At 49.8% G+C, this 26,256-nt stretch overlaps 1 protein-coding gene and 1 long non-coding RNA gene across 2 annotated transcripts; one reads left to right on the top strand and one right to left on the bottom strand.

Annotated features, from left to right (window-relative positions):
• Window positions 1–99: 99 nt before the first annotated feature.
• Window positions 100–26,256, bottom strand: LOC101928343 (uncharacterized). The gene is made up of 4 exons (NR_158152.1): window positions 26,148–26,256; window positions 20,059–22,246; window positions 19,470–19,675; window positions 100–569 (listed from the first exon to the last, which is right to left on the bottom strand). It is a non-coding gene; the product is annotated as an uncharacterized LOC101928343 (long non-coding RNA).
• On the top strand, window positions 2,358–16,211 carry CD300E (CD300e molecule). The gene is made up of 4 exons (NM_181449.3): window positions 2,358–2,514; window positions 8,631–8,978; window positions 12,063–12,171; window positions 13,323–16,211. The coding sequence occupies exons 1-4, from the start codon at window positions 2,475–2,477 to the stop codon at window positions 13,441–13,443; spliced, it is 618 nt and encodes a 205-aa protein (NP_852114.2). The 5' UTR covers window positions 2,358–2,474; the 3' UTR covers window positions 13,444–16,211.

Genomic DNA, 26,256 nt, shown 5'->3' with positions numbered 1-26,256 from the left:
GGTCGGAGTTTGGATTTTCTAATTGGATTATAATGAAATGTGCCTATATTAGACATGGTGAGTTTATAGTTTTTCAACCATCAACACATGCCTTTGCTTATTCCCATTTCTTTTATTTTATAAACAACTGTAGGGATAAGATTTTCAAAAAAGGAACCAGAAGAAAACATTATAAAAGCAGAACCAAGAAGGCTGAAGATTTGTTTGGTCCTCTTGGTGGAAAGAACTGAAGCCTGCAACTGTTGTCTCTGCTGAATAAATGGCACAAGGGTTGCTATGGTTTGAATGTTCCCTCAGAAACTCGTGTTGAAACTTAACTGTCAATGTAATGGCATTGGGATGTGAGGTCTTTAAGAGGTGATTAGGCCATGAGAGCTCAGTCCTCCGAGTGGATTAATGCTGTTATCTCCGGAGTGGGTTAGTTATTGTGAGAGTGGTTTCCTGAGAGGCTGAGTTCAGTCCCCTTTTTCTCTCTGTCTAGGAGGCTTGCCTGCTGTCTTGTCTTCTGCCATGGAATGACGCTTGTCAGATGCCACTACGATGCTCTTGGACTTCTCATCTTCAGAAAGCTAGGAAGGTGAACAAATTTGTTCTTTTTTATTATTATTATTTGAGACAGAGTTTCTCTCTGTCGCCCAGGCTGAAATGCAGTGGCGTGATCTTGGCTCACTGCAACTTTCGTCTCCTGGGTTCAAGCAATTCTCCCACCTCAGCCTCCTGAGTAGCTGGGACTACAGGCTCATACCACCATGCAGGGCTAATTTCTGTATTTTTGTTAGAGACAGGGTTTTGCTATGTTGGCCAGGCTGGTCTGAAACTCCTGACCTCAAGTGATCTACGTGCCTCGGCCTCCCAAAGTGCTAGGATTACAGGCATGAGCCACTGCACCTGCCAACTTTTGTTCTTTATAAATTAGCTAGCCTGTAGTATTCTGTTATAGTAGAAGAAAATGGACTAAGACACAATGTTGTGGCTACTGTCAGCTCTGCTCATTCTGGATCCCTCAAGTGTGTGGCTCATGTCACACATGGGACCAGGGTCCTGGTGTTTTATTGTTCCATCCAGGGCTCTATTCTATATATAATCTATCTATCTTTCTTTCTTTCTTTTTCTTTCTTTCTTTCATCTTTCTTTCTTTTTTTTTTAGATGGAGTCTCTCTCTGTTGCCAGGCTGGAGTGCAATGGTGTGATCTTGGCTCATTGCTTTGCAACCTCCACCTCCTGGGTTCAAGTGATTCTCCTGCCTTGGCCTCCCAAGTAGCTGGGATTACAGGCACGTGCCACCATGCCTGGCTATATAATACTTCATCAGATATGGTGGTACAGAAAAGATAAGAAGTTGTGCTCTTACAACAAAAGTTTGAAATATCAGATGATCCAGTAGAGTTCTAAAAGATAGTAAAGATTAGAGGCTGTGGGTATCAAAGATGGGTATCTCTGGGGAAAGAGAAGGAAAGAAATTATATTTTCAGATAGCTATGTCTTAGAGAAGAGTATCTTCTGATGTGCAAGTTGGATTAGAGAGAATGTATAGCTAGTGGAGGGACCAGATGAGAAGCTATTTCAATGGTCCAGGACTATTCTAAAGGTATTTAATATTAACTGGGCAGTTACTATGTTCCAGGCACTGTATCAAGCACTTTACTTACATTAACTCATTTATTTCCTGTGGCAACCCTTTGAGAAAGAATTGTCATGAGTACTCTATTTTACAGATGAGGAGACTGAGGAGGAGAGTGATTTGGCAACATGCCCAAGGTCAGATGATTAATAAATGATGGAGATGAGATTTGAGTTTGTGTGACTTCAGAATCTATGCTGTTGACCATGACCCATATACTGAACTAGGTTAACAGTGTATAACCAGGTGGAGCTTCCCTATAGGAAGTTAGAAAGTAGGATCTGGAGCCCAGGAGAGATATTGGGATATTGGGTTAGAGGAAGAGGTGTGAAGTCATCCGCATGGAGATAACGGTTGAGAAAGACATGGGGAGTGATCACCACAGCTCCTTAAGTAGAGGGTGTTTTATGATTCAAAAGTAGGCAGCCATAGAGAAGGGAAGCTCCTTAGATCGATGAAGTAATCCCAGATAGGAAGAAGAGTGAAAGAGGCAGGGAACAGAGTTTTCTCTGTTGGAGAGGTTTCGTAAACTGGGACTGACTTTCATGAAATTCCGAGTCATGAAATCTCAGGGGGTGACTCAAACATTACGTTCACATTAAATGAAGGCCAACAGATTTTCCTGTTTGTGCTTGGTCCATTCTCAGAAACGTCTCTTGCCACCCTTTCTCTTCTGCTAAGTAAGGCTTAAAATTAGGAAGCATTCTTTAAAAGGCAAAAGAGGAAATAGATGAGTGAGAACACAAAGGAAACTTGGACAAGTAGAAAGTGGATGACCCAGGCTCCGTTACATATACTTGGATTCCAGCTGGGACCTAGATTTGCTGAGGACGGAAGCCAAGGAGACAGGAACATGTGGCTGCTCCCAGCTCTACTCCTTCTCTGCCTCTCAGGTGAGTGGGGCTGTGGCTTTGGGGACTTGGTTTTGCAGGGGGCAGGACAGTAGGTAGAAGAGCTGTCCTGGGTTCAAACCAGAGGTGAAGTGTCCACAGAAAAGGGAAAGATACATCCGTTCATTCACCTGTGCATCCTTCTATACATTCAATCATTCATCCACGGATCCTACAAACACTTACTGAGCACCAGATATGTGCCAGGACTGTTCTGGGTGCTGTAATTAAGAGTAACTTCTGAACTGAGGGAGTCAACTAACTACAATACAATGTGGAAATTACTGTTGTAGAGACTCATTCATGTGGTGATGAGAGTATGCAACAGGAACCCCTCACTTTGCTCTTGGAAGGGTGGGAGATGTCACTGAGGCTTCATTGGAAGTCCATCCTGCAGGATGAATGAGTTGGCTGAGTGGGAAAGGAATAGCTTATGTGCAAGTGTGAGGACATTAAAGACCATGGAGAGTTCAAGAATTAACAATAGTTCTGTTTTGACGAAGCTTAGTGTAAAGGGGTTGGAATGGTTTGTGAGAAATAATTAATGGGCTGGGCGTGGTGGCTCACGCCTGTAATCCCATCACTTTGGGAGGCCAAGGTGGGTGGATCACCTGAGGTCAGGAGTTTGAGACCAGCCTGGCCAACATGGTGAAACCCTGTCTCTACTAAAAATACAAAAATTAGCTGGGCGTGGTGATGCATGCCTGTAGTCCCAGCTACTAGGGAGGCTGAGGCAGGAGGATCGCTTGAACTTGGGAGGCGGAGGTTGCAGTGAGCCGAGATTGCACCACTGCAGCAGTCTGGCCTGGGTGATAGAGTTGAGATCCTGTCTGAAAAAAAAAAATGCCATCCTCAACATCTACCTTAAATCCTTCCCGGAACAAGGTGTGGTGTAAACAAGTAAATGAAACTGTCCTGCAAAGGTTGGACTTCAGAAGAGAAACTCTTATTAATAGACATTCAAAATACAAAACTGCAGGAAAACACATTTGTCTCTGGGGAAATAAATTTAGGCTAAAAATTAGAGGACATTCTTCATGTTTGCAGAATGAATTTTATGGTTGAGTTCCCTCACAAAACATAGAAATTGCCCAATGTAATGACAAGATTCTTTCTAGAAGGGTGAGTGAAAATGACAGCGATTTAAAGGAAGAAGACCAGGTAGGTGACATGGACCCAAACTCGTGGGCTCAAGCAATCCTCCTCTCTTGACCTCCCAAAGCACTGGGATTACAGGCATGAGCCACTGCACTCAACCAATGTTTGCTCATTTTGTATTTGAATTTGCTTCCTTTTTCTTTGCCCTTTCCATCTCTCTTTCCACCCCTATCTCATTCCCCATCCTCAGACTCGCAATGTGACCTGCGCAGGTCCCTCTGAAAATCTTAACTGGGAAAGAGAGATGGAAAGGGCAATTCTAGCAGGGAGGGGAAATGACAAAGAGGAAGGAAGCAAATTCAAATACAAAATAAGCAAACGTTGGTTGAGTGAGGTGGCTCACACCTGTAATCCCAGTGCTTTGGGAGGTCAAAGCAGGAGGAATGCTTCAGCCCAGGAGTTTGAGATCAGCCTGGGCAACATAGCAAGACCCCATTTCTACAAAAAAAGAAAAGTAAAAAATTTAAAAAGAGCAAAACTAGAATTCTATTTATTACACATTTTTATAACCTATAAACACTTCCAAATAGATGATAGAATTTAACCCTCTGAGCAGTTTTGTGACCCAGGCAGGGCAAATAGCATTGACTCCACTTTATAAATAAGATGATGAAGGGAGATCTGATGACATAAGAACTAAGTAGACAAGCTGGAAATGAAGTCCAGATCTGTGTCCTCCACAGAGCTCTTTCCATTGGCCATGGAGGTGTCAAGAATAAGGCTAACCTAGTAATAGTGACAAAATAGCTGACCTCTCTGCCACATCATCTGGTATTTCCATTCTGAACTGATTGCTGTCCAATATTTAGTAGCTCCCATTAACCTCAAGCAACCAGCAAGCACATGTTTCAACAAATGCACCGACGCATTTATATAATTCCATCAATTATTTCCAGGAACATGCTGGATTTCCTTGAGAAATGCTAATCTTGCATTCAGGTAACACTCTAGCAGGACAGAGGAAAGTATCTTGGAATTAGCATAACCTTCTTTTTCCTTAACTTCAGGTGCCCAGAATTAGATCATGGGTCATGGAACACTCTCTCATCACTGGTCCATTCAAGACCCTCTTTTATTTTAATTATATGTAACTTAACAAACATCTGTGAGCTCACTGGCCAATCCATGAACTAGAATGTTATCAACAGCATGGATCTACCCACTCCTTCCCAATCCAGTCCTGGTTCTTCTTTCAAACAACAGTAATTTGGTGTCATCTGCCAATACTTTGCATGAAAATTTGCTTTTGTTATATTTTTACATTAAGTAGAAAATTGGGCTAAGCAACCATAAGCCATGCTCTACATCTGAGGGTCTGTGATTTAATCAGCCACACCCCTTATCTCATCTTTTTCTTTCCTCTTCTTCTTCTTCTTTTTTTTTCGAGAGGGAGTCTGGCTCTGTCACCCAGGCTGGAGTGCAGTGGGGTGATCTTGGCTCACTGCAACCTCCGCCAATCAGGTTCAAGCAATTCTCGTGCCTCGGCCTCCCGAGTAGCTGGGGTTACAGGCGTATGCCACCACACCTGGCTAATTTTTGTATTTTTAGTAGAGACAAGATTTCACCATGTTAGCCAGGCTGGTCTCACCTCCAGTGATCCGCTCACCTTGGCCTTTATCTTTTTCTTTAAGCTCACCTATCCAGGCTCTCCCCTCTGCAAGTTGCCTTGCTTTACCTCCATTTTGGAGGTGGCTTTGCTTACTGGGCTTTAGATAGTACTCTTATCCACACTGCTGCCCTACCTCTGAAATATAAGTCTTTACAAGTGACTTCCTTTTTTTTTTTTGGCCGGAGTCTCGCTTTGTTGCCAGGCTGGAGTGCAATGGCACGATCTTGGCTCACTGAAACCTCTGCCTCCCAGGTTCAAGTGATTCTCCTGCCTCAGCCTCCTGAGTAGCTGGGACTACAGGTGCACACCACCATGCTCGGCTAATTTTTGTATTATGATTATTATTTTTAAATGGAGTCTCTCTCTGTTGCCCAGCCTAGAGTGCATGGCGTGATCTAGGTTCACTGCAACCTCCGCCTCCCAGGTCCAAGTGATTCTCACCTTCAGCCTCCCAAGCAGCTGGGATTATAGGCCCCCGCCACTATGCCTGGCTAATTTTTGTATTTTTAATATAGACGGGGTTTCACCATGCTAGCCAGGCTGGTTTCGAACTCCTGACCTCTGGTGATCCGCCCGCCTCGGCCTCCCAAAGTGCTGGGATTACAGGCTTGAGGCACCACACCCGGCCAATTTTTGTATTTTTAGTAGAGACAGGATTTCACCATGTTGGCCAGGAAGGTCTCGATCTCTTGACCTTGTGATCCGCCTGCCTCGGCCTCCCAAAGTGCTGGGATTACAGGCGTGGGCCACTGCGCCCAGCTGTGATTTCCACATTTTAAGAACCATCTTCTGTCTTTTCAGAAGATTAATTTGAATTGGTTTCATTTCAATGAGAAGGTTGCCTACTGGAGAGAATAGCCATCATGAATGCAGAAGGCCCTTTCTTTTCTAGGGTGACCTTCCAGATTTGCTAGGTTTGGGGTTCCCAATAGCACTTTTAGGCTTTTCAGGATGAGATTCTGCCTCTTCAAAGGGACTGATGTTTGCTTGGCTTAGAATGGCTTGAAAAGTTGTAAAGTTTGTGAACCAGAAAGACCCCCCAAACCTGGAGATTTACCCAATAGAGACCTGGGGAAGGAAACAGCTCAGTCCAGAGGGAGCTAAAAGTAAGTGGCTCTGGGCTCTGGAAGGGACAAAATGGTCCCATGGTTTCCTCCCTCAGCTGTGCTCTCCCCAGTGTGTGTGTGTGTGTATGTGTGTGTGTGTGTGATTGAGAGGAGGAGTGAAACATTTGCTTCCTAGCAGGGCTGAAGGAGCCCAGGTTGTAATCAGGAGAGTGGAGGACAGATTCCAGAGGAGAAAGCCTCTTTCCAGAGGCCAGGGGCAGAAGGCCAGGCCAGCTCTTACGCAATTGAGGAATTAAAGACTTTTTGGGCTGGAAGGAGCCTGGAAAGCTCTCTTGAGTCTGACTTCCTATCTGCTGCTGGCATCTTCTTGATTGGAGTGGCAGGAATTCTAGGACACATTCAGCTCTGAAGGGACTGGCTCTGATCCTAGCAGAAGAAGAACAACCCCAAGCTCTCCAGCAAGGATCCCTTTAGGAAGCAGCACAAGCAGGCCCCGGCTCCATCACCAGACTCTTGGCTGTGACAAGCCCTTTGTACCCTGCCAAGCTCCCACTGTGGGAAATGCAGTCCTGAGCTCTGTCCAGAACCTAGAAGGAGGTGCTGCTGGGATGTGCCACCTCCAGGAGGAAGCTGGGGGCAGGTGGAAGGGAGGAGGTGAGGACCAGCTCTCAAATCTCAGGAGGGGTGTGCAGCTGCGGGGCAACAGGTTCTTGGGGGAGAACGTAGGTGGGGAGCAGGGATTTGGGAATGGGAAGATTCCTGAGGGCACAGCATCCAGAGCGAGGAAGGTTCTTACGAGAATTAGGACAGCAGAGAAATGGGGAGTGCTCAGAAGGTGCGGGGTCAGGAGCCACTTTGCTGTGGTCAAGGGAGCACAGAGCGGGAAAACACAGGTTTGGAGCAGGGTTTGGGGTAGGGGCTGGGAAGGGGTCAGGGTGGGGGTGACAGGTGCTACTGAGTGTGGAAGGGACCAGGAGGGTGGGAAGAGATAGTGACAGTGAGATTGTCTCAGGCCAAGCATGGTTGGTGGGGTGAGGAAGGTGTGCGTGGTGGCAGCTCACACATCTGCCAAGGCATATGACAGACAGAGCCAGCTGCAGACAGAGTGGGGAGGAAAGGCAGATGGTGGGAGGAGGGGAGGGAAATGAATGAAAGCCAGAAGTCAGGGGCTCCTCCATCCTCAATCACCTCAGATCTAGATGTAGTTAGCTCAGGAGCCCAGATAGTCATAGGACCCACAGATGCCAGGGGCTCTTTCACAATTTCTGCTCATTCTAACGGCTTAAGCTTCCGTGGCCCCTGCGCGTATTCATCCTCTTATTGTGAACTCAGGTTACTCTGAGGGGGTGCAAAGCTCAGCCTCATCACTGTTTCTCTTTCTCTCCCTCTCTCTCACACCCACACACACGTGCACATGCACATACACTCAAGTTCAAACAAAGCCTCTTGTCAGTTTTTCAGCACTTGCTTAAGATATTGGGGGGCTCTGCTGAGCATCACATCCCATAATGCCTGAACTTCTGCCTACCTACAGCCTTTCTTGTCCCTTCTCTTTGCTTCCGTATCAACTTCTCACACTTTGCCTCCCAGATTCTAAACCCCACTTTCCTCCCAGGACCCAAATCACCTCACTTGGTTACAGAGAGCAGCTTCCCTCTTTCCTCTGAATGCATGGTGACCTCTGACTCCCAAGACCTGGGGACTATTGTCGGGGGGGTCATCTTGTGTCCCAAATTCAGGTAAAGAAGCTTATCAGGGCTTCCTTTGGGGACAACCCCTCTTCCCAGTGCCATGTTGATTCTTTCTGGAGAGTGGTTAAGATCAGAGCCGGAGAGTATTTTTCCTCCCACAAGAACACTCTGAAAGTGGAGGAAACCGCAAGTTGTGCTTTTAAAGAATAAGCCTGAGATTCAGAAGACCCCAGAATATATGGGTCTCACTCCAAAGGGAAGTGATCTTGTATATGACCAAATCTCATGCCTGGCAGAGGCTGCAGGGCCCAGGACGAGGTGGGATGACCAGCTCCTCTCTGCTCCTGCCTCCAGCTTTGGTCTCCAGGTGCTGGGGCCCCTGTGCTGTGACTTGGTGTCCCTGCTCTCACAGGGGACAGGTTTCTGCTCTCACAGGGACTCTTTGGCTTAGGTCCTAAGCTCAAGTATTCCTCCAGGTTCCCCTCCCAGGAAACACCCAGGTCTCCCTGGCAATCTTCCCCTTAAGCTTCAGACAGACGGCTGCTGATGGGGCCATCTGGATGGAGACTTGGGACTCGGGCTTGTGTTTTCCAGGCTGTTTGTCTCTGAAGGGCCCCGGCTCTGTGACTGGCACTGCGGGGGACTCTCTGACAGTGTGGTGTCAGTATGAGAGCATGTACAAGGGATATAACAAGTACTGGTGCCGAGGACAGTACGACACGTCATGTGAGAGCATTGTGGAGACCAAGGGAGAAGAGAAGGTGGAGAGGAATGGCCGCGTGTCCATCAGAGACCACCCGGAGGCTCTCGCCTTCACTGTGACCATGCAGAACCTCAATGAAGATGATGCTGGATCTTACTGGTGCAAAATTCAGACAGTGTGGGTCCTGGATTCATGGTCACGCGATCCCTCGGACCTGGTTAGGGTGTATGTTTCCCCAGGTAAGAGCTCCCCTCACTTTGGCAGCAGGGTTTGGGGTGCGACTGGACAAGGGAACAAGGGTGGGCGGCACACTGAAGTGTGCGTCCAAGTCTTGTCTTGTCCTCAGTCACAGTGGTGTTGGGAGGAGCCTATGGCATGGGCATGGAGAGAGGCGGCTGATCCTTCAGCCTTGGGTGGGCTGGGGGGTGCACAGCTCAGGCGCCATCACTCCCATAGGGCCTGGGCCTCACCCCATTATCCAGCGTGGAGGAGGCCCCTTCATGCTGAGCCAAAGCTGTTTCCACCGTGCCCTTTGGGAAGCCTGTACCAAAGAAGAAACACTCCTGTACATTTGCAGCCTCCTCACAGAACATCCCCCTACCATGTTGTTTTGAAATATGTCTTGCTTGGGAAGACCTTCCTGTTTAGTAGCTTCTTGAGTGGAAGCTACTCTTTCTCTTACTCCCCCTATGCTAGAGGGCCATGGAGCCGTGTCCCAATTCTTCCTGCCCACATCACAACTTCCGCCCTATGACTTTCCACCTGCTTCCTTTAAATGCTGTGCCAGATGGCCATGCCCACCCTCTACCTGTGCTTGACAAGGCCGACCATCAGCTTCCAGGCTGCTCCCCCTCATTCAACGGAGTCCTGCCAGTGCCTCCACTCCAACCTCTGCCATTATCTTGGCAGGCTTTAATGAATAACTTGGCAATCTTGCCTTGGGTTCCTTGACATTCTCAACCTTGGTGTCCTTTATTTTCTACTCTCTTCAGAATTGCACCCCATGGAAACACCTCAGAGCTTGTCATCACCCGACCTGGTCGCTGCCCAGAGTCTTAAACTCAGACATTCTATTTTCTGACAACTTTTCATCAATCAGCTCTCCCCCATCCTCATGCCATTGTCCCTATTCTCAACCTCACAGTGACCTTCTGTCTTCTGATCCCTCCATTTCCGCCAATTTATTGCCCCCATCACTCCCGTTCTGACCTCACTTCCTTCCTAGACCACTTTGAGCCCCTGCAATAGATCACATTTTCTTTTTTCTTTTATTGAGACATGGTCTCACTCTGTTGCCCAGGCTGGAGTGCCGTGGAGCGATCTCGGCTTACTGCAACCTCCGCCTCCTGGGCTCGTGATCCTCCCACCTCAGCCCCCTGAGTAGCTGGTACTTCAGGTGTGCACTACCATGCCTGGCTAATTTTGTATTTTTTAGTAGAGACAGCATCTTCCCGCGTTGCCCAGACAGGTCTCAAACTCCTGACCTCAAGTCATCCACCCGCTTTGGCCTCCCAAGGTGCTGGGACTATAGGAGTGAGACACCATGCCCAGCCTGACATTTTCTTCTCTTAGCAGCACTCATAACTCCCATATTCCATTTCCTTATCTACCTGACAAAACCCTCATCCCTGGATCAATCCTAAAATAAAGGTCACTAATCATCCCAGTTTGCCCAGGACTAAGGGGTTTCCCAAATGTGGGATTTTCAGTGCTAAGGCTAGAAAAGTCCTGGGAAAGTTGGTCGCCCTGTCTAAAATCCACCTGCTCTAGCGCTGCTGGGGAAAAAAAGTGAGAAAATGGTGCCTGTGGCTGCCAGTAGAAGTTAAGAGTTTCCAACATTACTCTCCCATACATCTACCTTCCTGAGAACACACAGGACATCAGTTTCTTTCCTTCTCCACTTGCAAACTTTCATGCAATCTACACTCATTCTTCCCCTTTCCCTTTCGGGTTGAGGACAGGCTTCCCCATCCTGCCCAAGGGTGATCCTCCTGGGGCTGGCTCCTTGTCCTGTGGTTTTCTGCCTCCCCATCCCTCTTGAACCAAATTCCCCTGCCCCCTGCCCCTTAGCTATCCACACCATCTCCTGTCCTCAGACTCACACTCTATCATGTCTCTCACTTCCCAAAAGCATCCCATGGTCCGGCATTCGCCTCTGCTAGGTGCCGCCCATGTTTTCCTCACTGCTGGCCTGGGGGTGGATTAGGCTTCTCCCCTGTGCTCCCATTGCACCTGCTGGGGCTCCTTCCCAGGGCTGCTTCCAGCGGAAGTGAGTCCGTCTGTTTATGTGTCTCTGCCCCTCCAACGGGGTGGGGCTCATGCCACGTCCATCAACGAATCTCCAGCAACAGAGAGGTTGAACGCGGCTTATCGGATCACACTGAGCCTGTGTCGGGCACCGGTGAAGGGCTGAGCCTCCAGGACAACTGCTTTAGGGAGATCATGAGCTGGGAGTCCAGTGGCAATGAGGGAGTAGACTATGTCAATAGTCTGGTGGTCACCTGAAGTCCTTAGGAGGAGCCGAGTGTCAACCTATCCCCTCCCTAGGGGTGGCCTACAGTGGCCTTTCCACATGGGCCGGGCGCGGTGGCTCACGCCTGTAATCCCAGCACTTTGGGAGGCCAAGGAGGGCAGATCACCTGAGGCCAGGAGTTCGAGACCAGCCTGATCAACATGGAGAAACCCCATCTCAACTAAAAATACAAAATTAGCCAAACGTGGTGGCATATGCCTGTAATCCCAGCTACTTGGGTGGCTGAGGCAGGAGAATCGCTTGAACCCGGGAGGTGGAGGTTGTGGTGAGCTGAGATTGTGCCATTGCACTCCAACCAACCTGGGCAACAAGAGTGAAACTCCATCTCAAAAAAAAAAAAAAAAAAAAGAGTGTCCACATGAAGGGTGCTCAGAGCCCCCTCTCATGGTCTCTACGAGGCTTCTTGGGCCACAGGCTGAGCCATCTTCCTTTAGACTCCTCCTTCCCCTCCTCCTCCTGGAACTCCACATCTGGCTGCGGAAGCCCAGAGAGACCCCTGCCCTCACCCCAGGCAGAGTGGGATGAGGGCAGAGTGGGCAGAGTGGTAAGAGTCTTTCTCTGAGATGCAGAGAAAGACCTGGCACTTATTGGAGGGGACTCTCATGGCTGGTTCTGGTAAGGGCTCTTTTTGTCCCTGAGGGGTTTCACCCAGGAGGTGCCCTGGATCTGGCTTCAGAAGATCTTTCCAGCCTCTTCTGTGAGTGGGTGATTCTGTATGACATCCATACGGGTGTTCTGTGCATGGCTGGGAGCCCAGGCACGGCTGATGCATCATTTTCATCTCCAACAGCAATTACAACCCCAAGGAGGACCACACATCCAGCCACACCTCCCATCTTCCTGGTGGTGAACCCTGGGCGAAACCTCAGCACCGGGGAGGTGTTGACCCAAAATTCAGGGTAAGCACGCAGGGCCTGGAGGCCATGGAGGGAGCAACCCTGGGGTGGAAGCTGGGGGGTGGGGGTGGCGCACCGTGACCTGAGATCGTCACTGTCTGCTGTTTCTCTCCATCTCTGGTCCTGATTCTCATACTCTCTGAGGCTGCATGTGGATGCTGAGTGGGAAATATCACTTGTGCTGTGAACGCCTTTCCCTATGGGGCAGCTACTGGGACTCAGGTCGAAGGTTGAGTTCAGGTGGACGTGCAGCCCCTCCTCCCTTCCCCACTCCTTCCTGTCTCCTTCCCCATCCAGCTCCGGACTTGGGGTCCCAGTTCTGTGGCCCTTTTCAAAGGTCTTTGCTCAGCTGGGGATTTTGCCACCAGGAGCTGTCTGTGGGGTCTGTGGGGAGATGGGCCAGCTCCAGGCTGGGGTTTGAATCAGTTCTCTCTCCTCTCCCAAAGATATCCAGAAAGGGCTGTGATATTGCTGCTAGACCCTGAGGGGAGGGAACAAGGAGCTGGAGTGGAACAGTGAGAGTGGTGGCCGGGTGTGGTGGCTCACGCCTGCAATCCCAACAGTTTGGGAGGCCGAGGCGGTGGATCACTTGAGTCCAGGAGATTGAGACCAGCCTGGGCAACATGGTGAAACCCTGTCTCTACTACGAAATACAAAATTAGCCAGGTGTGGTGGTGCGCCTGTAGTCCCAGCTACTCAGGAGGCTGAGGTGGGAGAATCACTTGAGCCCAGGAAGTCAAGGCTGCAGTGAGCCATGATTGCACCACTGCACTCCAGCCTGGGTGACAGAGTGAGACTCTGTCTCAGAAAATAAAAAAAGCGAGAGTGGGGACTGGTTTTAAGAAGTCAGTTGATAAAGTGGAGGCTGTGAGTGGGACAGGGACAGAGAGGGTGCTGTGGAGCGCACTCCTGGAAGTGGGTCCCTCTTCTGTCTTCACTCCATCACCTCTCCTTGATGAGACCCCCCGGGCAGTCCTTGATGGAGGGAGAAGGAGGGATGGGGGCCACAGAAGGGGCTGCCCTGGCATAGGTCCTTTCCCTGGCTGCTCCTGGGTTATTTGGGCTCCAGAGTCAGAGCATGGGGAGAGGTGGGGAGAGAAGGGTCCTGGGGGTTCTCCCGGGGAAGTGACTCATTTTCACCGTGTCCACCACAGGTTCCGGCTCAGCAGCCCTCACTTCCTGCTCGTGGTCCTTCTGAAGCTGCCCCTGCTCCTGAGCATGCTGGGTGCTGTCTTCTGGGTGAACAGGCCTCAGTGGGCTCCTCCTGGAAGATAGAGCCAGGCTGACCCGAAGCCCTGCAGAGCCCCATCCCCAGGAGTGCCCCGTGCAGGGAGTCAACCTTTCAGACTGGATGCGAGAGACCTGTGGACTCTGGAGGGATTTATTGTTCCTGTGCCTCAAAGGAGGGTCCTGGCTCTTAGAGGACACTCCTCTGGAGTCCTCAATGTGCAGCTTGGGGGTCCTCCTTTCTCCTCCCCAGTCCCCTGCCTCCCTGCCCTCATGCCCACTTCCCAAGGGCAAGAATTCCCTGGAAGTTGGCCGGGCACCATAGCGAGTGCCTATAATCCCAGCTCAGGAGGCTGAGGCAGGAGGATCGGCTGAACGTAAGAGTTCCAGGCCAGCCTGGGCAACATAGAGAGCCCTGTCTCAGAGAGAGAGAGAGAGAGAGAGAGAGAGAGACAGAGAGAGAGAGAGAGAGAGAGCGAGAGAGAGAGAGAGAGAGAGAAAAGGACGGAGGAAGGGAGGGAAAAAATTTTCTGGAGGAGCCTGGCCCTTCATTCTTCTTGGCACAAATGCTTCTCAGGCCAGTTTCCCCCAGGGCAATAACTACCTCCTTCCTGCAGACAGGAGTCTCCCTGAGGACACACCCCTCACAGCCCCAGCCTTTAGGCTCACAGAGCTCCATCTCTTCTCTGGGACAACCCCAAGGGAGCTTGGTCCCGGCAGAGCTTGCTCATGCAGTTGCCCAGTGTCCCACATGCTCAGGGCTCCTCTCGTCTTCTGACGCCCCTTGGGTCTCCCTGGCTTTAAGGCCCCTTCTCTCCCTGTAACCAGGCAGTGTGTGGCTGGGCTCAGAACATCTCTGCCTGGGTGGGCCGTGGATGAGCTGCTCCAGGTTAAAGTTCTGGGGCGAGTTGAAACAGTAAAGGGAGAAGGAGCTGGTGGGTGCCCCTGATATCACTCCTGGAATTCCCCCACCTGGAGGTGTCCAATGCACAAGGTCAACAGAGTCAGTTCTGTCCACTTTAGAAGTCTGGCTGAGACCACCTGTTAGCAATTAACCTTTTCCACAGGCAGAGCAGATATCGTTTTTCAAAGACAGGATGGAGGGCACAGAGGTGAAGGATACTTGTCCACACTTGAAGTGCACAGTGCTATCACCACTACTGGTGACCCCTGGCTCGGGAATGAGCTCAGTTGGTTTTCTGAATGTTTGTCAATTACTCTGTTTCCCTAAAGTTTGTGGGGAGGACTCCCACAGTCTGCCACAAGCAAGCATCACCATCTCCACTTGCTACCTACATCTGGACCAGTGCTCCCCCTCTGCCCCCAGGCCTGAGCTCATCCTGAGCTAGTGATGCCAGTGTCCAGAGCACATGGAGTGACCCTCTGAGTGCCGAGTGCTTAGGCAGAGCTGCCGTGCTCTGAACTTGAGCTCTGGTGGGGCTCCCAGCTCCATCATGCATGGTGACTAGGGGAAAGATGGGGCTGGCCCAGGACTCATGCTGAAAGAGAAATTCAATCTAACAAGGCCCATATTAATTATATTAACCCGGGAAATATGATGATGAGCAAGAAAGGAGCTTATGATTCATTTTATGAGAAGGATAAGCTCCCAAGTCATTACAGCATAGGAAGAACTCTAGAGCCACAAGAGATGCTTCCTGATGTCAGGGGGTTGGTGAGGAGAATATCATGCCAAGCTGGCCAGGTCAGGGAAAGAAGGTGACATTCATGTTGATGTTGAAGGAGGTATAGGATTTCAGCGGAGCAGGGATGGAGCAACAGGGAGAGAGAGAGGACAGAGAAACAGCATAAGTGAAAGCAGAGAGGCGGGAAATAATCTTCATAACAATAGTCACTTATAGAAGACCTATCAGCAAATGGACTGTACTGTTCACATACAGATGCTCATGGTAGGATGTGTCTAAGATTCCAATGGAGTGAAATTTTCCTGTGGCAGGCCAGATGGAACTAATCTAGAAGAACTCAGGTGGTGGCAGGTTCAGGAGGCTTAGGACTCAACTCTTACTTAAACTTTGATTAGCTATGGTGGGATGGATTTGAGCAGAACAAGATGGGATTGCAGATGTGCTTTAGGAGGACTTGCCTAGCAGATGTAGCAAAGTCTGAAAGGAAGAATCTGGGAGTCCGGAGTCTTAAGCCTGGAAAACCAGAGGAATCGGGCATCATTGACAGAAGTAGGAAAGTCAAGAGCAGGCTTGGATGATGCAGAGCTTAGTTTTCTGTGTGTTTGGAATCATCAGGCAGAGAGGTCTAGCAGATAGCTAGAGATGTGGGTTAGCAGAGTGTTGAGGGCTGGAGAGGAATGTGTGTAGAGAGATTAACTGGAACCCAGCAAGAAGTGAAAACATGGAGGGAAGAGTTCAGAACCAAGGACAGAGCCCTCGGGGCACCTGCATTTAAAGACAAAGGGTAGGAGGAAGACATTGATCAAGGTGCTGGAGCAGAATCAAACAGGTGGAAGATGAGAAGTCAAGAGCCATGAATGTTTCAAGGAGGAGAGCAGAGCTAGAGAGGTGGAGGAGGACCGGGATTGAGAGGAGGCTATTGAACTTATCATTCACAAGGTCACTAATGAAGTTCAGAAGAGCAGATCAACAGAGCAATGACAGCAGAAGCCAGAAGAGAAGAGTTAAGAAAGAGTAGACAGATGGCAGACAGCAGGTGCAGGAGAAACAAACAGTGGCTTCTCCATGCTTTGAATTTTCCCTTCTCCCTTACTCCCTTTTTTTCCCCTATTCTTCCTTTCTTTTTTCCCTTTATTTACTCATTCATTCAATAAACTTTTATTGTGTGTCTATGGTGCATTGTTCTGGGCATTACAGATAAGGACTTAAACTATGCAGAGTCCCTACTCCTTTAGAAGGGAAGTCTAAGATGTAGACTAACAATAGCGATGCGGTGTGTTAGAATTTGTGTCAGGGTTCTGCACAGTGCTCTGTGGGGGCACAGAAGGGAGGCACTCCCATGAGGGCCAAGCGGAGAAGGAAAATTGAGGGCTTGAGTTATAAAAATAGGGCAGAAGACTGGGGGATGATTGTCCCAGACAATGGTAGGGAAGAGTCATAGAGCATGGTGGATACCAGGACCTTCAGGAGCTACGTTACCATTACCATGTGTGCAGAGTGCATGTGAGGGAGGAGTGAGATATGGGGCTGGAGCCTCAGTCTGAAAGGGCTTCATGGCAGACCAAGAAGTTTGAATTGTGTTCTGGAGGCCATAGGGAGCCCCTGGAGGTTTTAATTTTTGAAACTTTTATTTTGAAATGATTATAGGCTTAACATTGCAAATATAACATAGAGTCCTGTGAATCCTTCATCTAGTGTCTTTCAATGGTGATGTATTATATAACTGTAGGACAAGACCCAAACCAGGAAACCAGCATTGTTACAATACTGTTAGCTAGACTGCAGACTTTGTTCAGTTTTCACCGTTTTTAACATACATTGGTTTATGGATATGTTTGTGTAGAGTTCCATGCAATTTTACAGATCCAGGTAACTACCACCCCCGTCAAAATACAGAACCAATCCATCATCACAAGGATCTCCCTCATGCTGTCCCTTGTATTTGCACCCTTATCCCATTCCTGTCCCCTGGAAACCACTAATCTGTTCTCCATCTCTACAGTGTCATCCTTTTGAGGACAAATGAAATTATGCAGTATGTAATATTTTGAGATTGACTTTTTAATTCACTGAGCCTTGAGATCCATACAAGTGGTTGCACTTACCACAACCAATAGCTGATTCCTTCCTATTGCTCAGCAGGATTTCATTGCATGGGTGTAAAATAATTTGTTTAACCATTCACCCACTGAACCCAAACAAGACATGTCTGTGCAAGTAATGGCTGCTGGACTGTGACCTCTGAGTAAAGGATAGGTGTTTCAGGGCCTCATTTTTATTCTTGGGACCATATGGTGCCCCCAGCAGGCTTGGGAAGTGACCTTCTAAAGTGCACAGATGGGCCTGCAGGGATGCTGTGTGGGCCAGCTCCAGGCTGCCATTCAGAGGCAGAATCAACTCTGCTCTCTGGCCTTGTGACTGGGGACCAGGTGGCTTCACCCCTTCACGTCCCGCTATTCTTATATGTGACATGAAGGCGCTACATTATGATTCTTCCACAAGGCAGTTTAAAAACATGGCTGCAAATTTCTTGATACTCCTTCCATGAAGAGTTGTGGCTTAGGTCCCCTCCCCTTGGGTCTGGCTGGGTTGTGACTGTTTCAACTTGTGGACTAGAACAGTGTTTCTCAACATTTTTTCATTGTTATCCTAAGATAACAATGAATATCCCTAAAAAAAGAATATCCCTAAATATCTCCCCTCATGAAATGTTAATACCAAAGATGTATTGTACATCCATCCATTCACCTGTCTATCTATCTATCTATCTATCTATCTATCTATCTATCTATCTACCTACCTACCTATCTATCTATCTACCTATCTATCTATCTATCCATCCATCCATCTATATCTCTGTTTTGTATCTAGAAAGAGTAAAAATATTTTTCCACCCTGCAAGAACCAATATTTGCCCCCATGGGGAATGCAAGAGGGCCTCCGTATGGCTTCCAAGGCTAAGTCAGAAGAAACCCTGCAGCTCCCTCTTCAGTCTATTGAAACGCTTGCCCTCTGGAAGGTCTGCAGATATTCCCTTTTAGAACCCAGCTGTCACAGAGAGGCCACATGTAGGGTCTCTGGGCAACAGTCCCAGCAGAGCTGTCTTGGATCACCCCAGCCCATGCTCCAGACTCGTGGGTGAAGAAGCCTCCAGATGACAATAGCAACCAGCCTGTGTGACCATGGTTCACATTGCAACAACACAGGCTGTTCTCTTATGCTTAGCAGCATGCAGGCTGCTGGAGCCTGAGGTCTTGCCCTTTCTCAACACATGAACCATATGGACACAGGTAGTCAAGATGTGGCAAGTGGTGAGTGTTCCCGAAAACAAACTTTCCACTGTGTCAATAGCCCTCCATGCTCTGCCCTCCATGGCTCTGCCTTCCACGGTCTGCCCTCCACATTGCCCTCCACCCTCTGCCCTCCATGGCTCTGCCTTCCACACTCTGCCCTCCATGCTCTGCCCTCCATGGCTCTGCCTCCATGGCTCCTGACACTACTCTTGGCCAATCTTCAACCTCATTCAGAGAAAAGTTATAAAGCACACCAGCACCTGTTCACAGCTGATGAGATCAAGGAGAAGAAATGAACACTAGCAAATGGCAGTTGAAGAACCCGTCTCAGGAGAGGAAGTGCTCAAGGCAATAGAGGAAGAGTTCAGATGGAAAATTCCCCTCCTTCTTAGAGAAGTTAAGACAACAAGATCTCTCCAAAAAAAGGAGCTAAGAAAAGAAATATAGTAATTCAAAAAAAAGTATTTAAAGTAAAATATGGAAGAAAAAAGAGCAGGCAGAGTTCAGGAAGAATGTAAGTGGAAGAGAAAAATAATCCTAACAACTTTATTGAGGGGAAATATATACACCTTTGAAAATTAGAAAAAGAGGTGTGTTGTTATTTAATTACAAGTGAATTGAGGGGACTGACACATGAGGGCTGAGCATCCTGCATTTGTTGTTGCACAGCTCGAGAGGTGGAAAGGGCGAAGCTTGGGTTGAATCAGGAGTGGTTGGTGGTGGCTGTGCCAGTTCTGAGCCGGGTGGGGGATGGAGAGGGTCACAGGCACAAAGGGGATAGAGCCGAGCCCCTCTTGGGATGGAAAAGTCCAGACAGGCCCTGGGGCCTCTGCAACTGAACGATAGTCCAGTATCTCTGACAGGGTCATCCTGGAGCCACAAGGAAAGGAGGCCTGAGGGAGGATCCATGAAGGTGAGATGCAGATGCCTCCAAGGAATCAGTGTGCAAGGGGGATGTCCTTTCTTTTATCTGCTCCTGAGGCAGAGGTGGCAGAAGGCAGAGAGGCCCCGTCAGCATCCCTGTGCTGTGCAGAGCCAGCTGGGAGTGGGATTGCCTTCCTGAGGCCAGGATGAGGGATATTTCATCTCTGCAGGGACCCTTGTCTCCTGGGGAACTGCAATTGCTGCTTATTACCTGATAGGAGGCCAGAGGTTCTGCTTGCCCCCTCCGAGGGTGTTGATGGTGTGGGAGCTGCGGTTCCCCGGCTCAGGCTGTGACTTTATTTCCCCCTGGAGGCCCCCTTAGCACTGCTCACTTGCAGCACAGTGCAGAGCAGGCCCACGAGCAGCAGCCCCTTCAGGGAGATCGGGAGCAGGAAGTGGATGTTGCAGAGCAGGATCCTGGACAAAGGGGTCAAGATGCCAAGAGTGAGCAGCCTCTTCCCTGAGCCAACACCTGCCACCCTGGTCAGCTGCCTGGTCCCCAACCAGGGAAGCCCCATGCAAGGGGCAAAGTCATGCCACCCGGAGGCTGAGCTTCCAGTGGCCTTCCCACAGGCTCAGTCTGGGGCCCGGCCCCTTCGCTGCCCTTGGCCGTGACTGCCCAGCCTTTAACATTATTTGCCGAGATGGCGTCTCGCTATATACCCCAGGCTGATTTTGAACTACTGAGCTCAAGCCATCCTCCTGCCTTGGCCTCCCAAAGTGCTGAGATGACAGGCGTGAGCCACTGCACCCAGCCAGGCCTGCCTTTGGTCTTCTTTCCCACAGTCCCTGCTACTCACCTGTGTCCCGCCAAGCTCGAGGGTCTGCTGTGTCCTGTATTCCTGCTTCTGCTCCTCTCTCTGCCTTGTGTCTCCCTTTGTCACTTCTGCCCATCTTTCAAGCTCAAATCTAATTATTATTACCTCTTTGAAGCACAGGAAGATTCCCCCACTTCTAACAACCTGGCTATTTATCTATTTGGTTCTCCTGGGAGGGGTCTCCTCCTGCTTGGACCCACTTTATGACAGCAGATCTGAGACCTGCTGCCTCATATCACCCACATGTTTAATATTTGGTCTAGCTAAACGAGTGGGTTCTGGGGAGTCCCCATCAGCGTGTAAGAGTCTGATTCCCCAGTCTTATTCCTCATCCACTCCCCTACACCCAGTGCCAGGGCCCTTTCCCTCAGGCCATCCCTGTTCTCTCCCCGAAGCTGGCCTCCAGCCCAGGGCATGGAAGCAGTGATGAGTCATGTGAATTTAACTCAGAGTTTTCTTGAGTGAGAGCAGGCCTGCCATATTGCACATCCTAAAAATACCCTTTAAACCACTGTGTTCTTCTTGCAAGTTCCACTCCCCGTGGAGCCGCCGCACCCTTGGTCTCTTCCCGCCAAGTTTCCCCTTGTGCCTCTCCCGTCTCGCTAGAAGTCCTGGCACTGCCATCCCCACTCAGCAGAACAACCGCTCTGCAAACAGTGGAGCGAGACGAAGGCCAGGTCAGGAAGCATCCCCAGTGCCTCGCCTCTTCCGGACTCCTAGGGAACACAGGATCGGTGCTGGCAGGCTCCAGGGAACAAGACCCTTTGAAAGGAACGGAGTTGGGCTGGAGAAGGGAGCCGGTGGAGCAGGGAAGGCAGGATCCAGGGAGAGAATGGGCCTTGACCCTGGACTTTGAGGGATCCTGAAGCACCAGGCTGTGATGGGGTTAAACAGGGGCAGCCGCATTTGCGCGGTGATGAGACATCCTATTGATCCCTCGAAAGGAGGTGGGCTTCGGATTGATGTCCACACCCATCTACCATGCTGGGAATGTGAAAGAAAAGCAAGAGGCCCAGCTTCCCGCTCTCCCGCCCTGCCCTTCCCTAGCCTTGGCTGGAGAGTTGGAGCGATGGGCACACCCCTGCCTGTGACTGTGGTAGGCAGAATAGTGAACCCCACCCACGATGTCATAACCCCAAAGCCTGTGAATATGTTTTATTACATGCAAGGGGGAATTAAGGCAGTGGGTGGATTTGAGACTGCTCGTCAGGTGACCCAGGGTGGATTATCCTGGATCATCTGGCTGAGCCCAGTGGAATCACCAGCGTCCTTATAAATGAAAGAGGGAGGCAGGAGAGACAGTGGAGCGATGCTCTGTGGGAGACTCCACCGACCTTTGCTGGCTTTGGGTAGGAGGGGGCCATGAGCCAAGGAACACGGGTGGCCTCCAGAAGCTGGAAAAGGCAAGGGAACAGGCCCTCCGCTGGAGCCTCTAGAAGGAACCAGCCCTGTTAACACCTTGATTTCAGCCCAGTGAGACCCATTTCAGACTTCTGGTCTCCACAGCTGTATGATCATGAGACTGTGTTGTTTTAAGCCACAAAGTTTGTAACGATCAGTTACAGCAGCCACAGGAAAGCCACCCAGACAGCTGCCCTTCCAGAGCACCCAAAGCTTCACCTCGCTTTTGCCTCCTGGGGCTTGAGGGACTCGGTGAAGCATGGAGCCCAGAGCCTGCTCTCTGGAGCTCAGCCTGTTGCAGCTCATCAGGGAGAATCTCCTGCAGTGCTCAGGTGTAGACAGGGAGGGGAAGGCCCACTACAGACTTCACTGTTTCTCCCCTGACGAGCGCCACATGAGGGTCCCTGGTGAGAGCATCTGAAGGAGCAGTCATGGGGCAGCCTAGGGAAAGGTCTGTGGGAGCCCAGCTCTGCTCACCTGGTGAGGGGGCTGGTAAGAGCCGTGGGCTGGGTGCTGTTGGTGCTCTGGGTGAGAGAAGGCCAGGAGGCCAGAACTGTTGGAGTGGTTGTTCTCATAGGTTCTGCTGTGTCTGCTGTCCCAGGTGAAGCTGGGTCTGCTGTTCCAGGCACAGCTGTGTTCCTTTTCCCAGGCACAGCTGTTTCTGCTTTTCTAGGTACAGCTGTGTCCATTGTCCCAGGCCCAGCTGTGTCTGCTGTCCCAGGTGCAGCTGCGTCTGTTGTCTTAGGTTCAGATTGTTTTCTTGGAGTTGCTGTGGGACATGCAAAGGATAGTTTTGAGGGTGACCTAGGTGGCTTCCCCGTGGCTCACGTCACCTCTTACCCCTCCAAGGATCGTGAAGCATTTAGTCTTAGCACTACAGTTGTTTTGTTTTGTATCTTTTTGGTATCTTACCTAAAATGTAATATTATTTCACTTACAAACAAACATCACTGCACCACCTGGGAAGGACTTGTGGCGAGAAGCTATGCAGGCAATTTACAAATATTCAACTTAGTCCCAGAGTCCTGCGTTGCACAGCTGAGCGTTGAGAACCACACTCTGCTTCCCTGAAGTTCTACATCAGAGCCAGCCAGCCCTTCTCTTGAGTCTCAGCCTGGGCTCCAGCAGGCTGTTTGTTGCCTGCTGTGTAGCAAAGTGACCCTCAGAGCCAGCTGCCCCTCCCTGGGCCCTGCCTGGGGACTCAGGACTCCTCTCCCCTGCAGCTGGGCAGAGCATCTGTTTCCAGCTGAAGTTTTCCTGCCTCCCCAAAGCTTCCTTATTTCACTAGGCTTGGAGGGTTGCAGCCTCCGACTCTCCCCCAGCTCCTCCTTTCCTTCCACTCATGCCTTTGTTCTCTTTTTAAGTCAATTTCTGAAACATTCTAAAACCAGACTTCCCCACTGCACACACACACAGGCACACCACATCCGCATATACTAAGCTGAAAAGGACTTTTCCCTGCCTTGTAAATGGGCCCACAAGTAACAGATATATGATTGAGCTGCAGCATCTATGCATGTGCATGGGGAGCTGACAGTTTCTCTGGTGCCCACGGCGGAGATGACACTGATGGCTCTGGGGGCTGGGCTGTGGAGTGAGGATGACAGCCGGACTCTCTTTCTAGGAGCCCCCTGTTGTGAGTTCTCAGTATCCTCAAAGGCTCGGGGCAGCCAGGGGAGGCCTGTGGGAGGGCTCTGCACTATGCCGGGTTCTGTTTTTCCCTCTTTCAGGAATGGGTCAGAGTCTCCCATGCCTTCCTTTGTCCATATGTCACCAGAGGTGGGAGAGGACGAGAGAGAGGTGGCTCCAAGGAGAGGGTCACCAATGGGCTCTTGGTCACTACATGCTTGTCCTGGAGCTGAGACTTCTGGGATTGCGATTTTCTTGCATTCCCCTCCCTGTACACCTGACAAGTCCTCCCGTCAGGCTGGGGCTGCTCTGAGGGGGCACGGGTTGCCCCAAGTGACTTGCAGAAGAGAACCTGCCTTCTTTCTTACCCTGCACTGTGCCTGCCCAAGCTGACCCAGTTCTGCTTGGCTCCCTCTGATAATAGCAGATAGAGACATACAGAGATACTGAGGCTTGCTCTGTCTTCCAGTCTTTCCAGAATCTTGGTGTAACCCCTCCCCCCAAACACACACACATGCACATGCACACACATAGGCCCACAAACACAGACATGTACACACAGACACACACGGGCCCATTCGTACACATACATCTATGCACAGCACACATATAGACACGGGCAAGCCCAGGCACACATACACAGGCACACACAAGCACACACAAGCCCATGCACACACGTAGTCCCAGGACAATGTCAAGACAGCATCACTGAATCCTCTCGGGTCAGCACCAGAGTTTGGTACAGGAGGGAGCTGCTCCGACCTGGGTAAATGGTCACTTCAACTTGGACCCCAAGGTCAGTGCCTGTCCTCTCAATCCCACACCAGTAGGTGTCAGTGTCGGACCTCCAGAGCATCTTCATGGTTATGGTGAACACACGGTTTTTCTTTTCTTTTCTTTTTTTAAATTTTATTATTATTATACTTTAAGTTTTAGGGTATATGTTTCTGATCGTCCCTGATGGACACTCGGTCTCTCTCCGCTGTCTGCTCTGATCCTGTGATTGTAATGAGGATTTTGCAGGACTGCCAGTCCTTCCCGTGGCACCACTACTTGCTGTAGGTCTCCCAGCCTTGGTCATAATGACACTGCACTGTCAGTGAGTCCCATTCTGTGCCCCACACAGCTCTAGGACCATAGATGGAGAAATACTCTGGAAGACAGAACCCAACGTCCAGATCTTCCCTCCCTGGGCACTGCCCAGGGCTTCCGGCACCTCCCTGGGGACCAACCAGGAGCCTTTATCCTCAGCCCCCAAATTGTCAAATTCTCACATCCATTTGTTCCTTAATTCCCCGGCAGTATTTCTTTTGTTGTCACCCCTCTGACAAAGTTCTCCTGAGGGCTCCAACTGCCCAACACAGTGGTCTGTTCATGCGCCATCCTAGCGACCACTGAACACCCTCTCATTTTGGAAACCTTCCCTCCTTTGCCCTGAGGTGACACCCACTTCCCCACCAATCCCTGGCTCTCACTGCAGCCACCAGTTTATTTTATTTATTTATGTATTTATGTATTTATTTGGAGACGGAGTTTTGCTCTTGTTGCCCAGGCTGGAGTGCAATGGTGCGATCTCGGCTCACCGCAACCTCCGCCTTCTGGGTTCAAGCAATCCTCCTGCCTCAGCCTCCCGAGTAGCTGGGATTACAGGCATGCGCCACCACGCCCGACTAATTTTGTATTTTTAGTAGAGACAGGGTTTCTCCATGTTGGTCAGGCTGATCTTGAACTCCCGACCTCAGGTGATCTGCCCTCCTCGGCCTCCCAAAGTGCTGGGATTACAGGTATGAGCCACCGCGCCCGGCCAGCCACCGATTTATTTTAAAATCCCAGAGCTGAACAGGTAGACATCCTGGCTTCCCCCAACTCCTCCGCCCACTGGCACTGCACCCCACACCCCTAAAAACCCTCTCCTGTGAGTCTGCACATGTGATAAAGTTTCATGGAACCAAACACACCCACACCCCCACACACACACACACCCCCAACACTCACACACCTGTGCACACACTCAGTGCACAGTTGTTTTTCTTTGCCTAAGCACCATGCTATTTTTGTCTCCATACCTTTGCACAAGTTGCTCCCTTTGCCCAGGAAGTTGTCTCTTCCTTGCTTGATGGACTTAAGCCCTTATTCCCCTCCCTGAAGGGTTGGTTCAGCCCCGCCCTGGTGCCACCAGACCACTTTGTATCTGTCTCAGTTGTTGTACTTACAACCTTGAACAATGGTCTGGTCTTTGGCTCGTCCAGAGCAGAAGCTCAAGCAGGCTGATGTGTGGGGTTGACTTACATTCCAGAGAGCGATGACATCCTTGCCTTATTGCCTGTCTTCCTCCCTGTAACTCTGAGCTGCTCCATTTTAGCTACAACTCATGACAAGCTGTGGAGGCTTCTAAACTAGCCAGATGTCTGAACCCCGCCACGACTGCGTGGGTCTGAGCTGGAACCTGAGTATTTGTGCTCTTTTAAAGTTCCTCAGGGATTCATGCATTTAAGTTTGGGTATATGTGTATATGTGCAAGTATATAAGTATGTATGTATCTACCTATTTATCTGTTCTTTCATCTATCTGTCCACCTGTCCATGCATCTATCTGTCTCTCGTCTATCATCCATCCATTTACTTCTCTCTCATCTATCTATCTATCTATCTATCTATCTATCTATCTATCTATCTATCTATCTATCATCTATCTATCATCTATCATCTATCTGTCTGTCTATCAATTATCTATCTATCTATCTATCTATCTATCTATCTATCTATCTATCTATCATCTGCCAGGGTTGAGAAGAATCAGAATCCTAGAAACCTGACACCATTTATGTTTTTTGTTTCTTTCCCCAACACCTAACCTAGTAACTGTCAGATAACAAAACATTCCTCCCTTTTTTTCTCTTTTCCTTCCTTCCTGCTTTCTTATATGTAAGTGCATGGATGAGTGCATTTTCCCCAGCTTGTCTCCTTCCCTCCAGCACAGACCCTCTCTGTTTCCTGCCCAGCCTTTTGGGTTCCAGTTCCTTAATCCCCAGGCCCACTTACCTGGAAGGATGAGAAGGAACAGGACCAGTGAGCACTACATGCCCCTGCCTGTCTGTGCTCTCTCCCTGGTGATGAGTTAATACCAGCTGCCCTCCAGCAACTTGTAACT

This window comes from Homo sapiens, chromosome 17 (assembly GCF_000001405.40).
Source record: "Homo sapiens chromosome 17, GRCh38.p14 Primary Assembly".
Taxonomy (NCBI): domain Eukaryota; kingdom Metazoa; phylum Chordata; class Mammalia; order Primates; family Hominidae; genus Homo; species Homo sapiens.
This window is presented reverse-complemented; position numbering and strand designations above follow the sequence as displayed.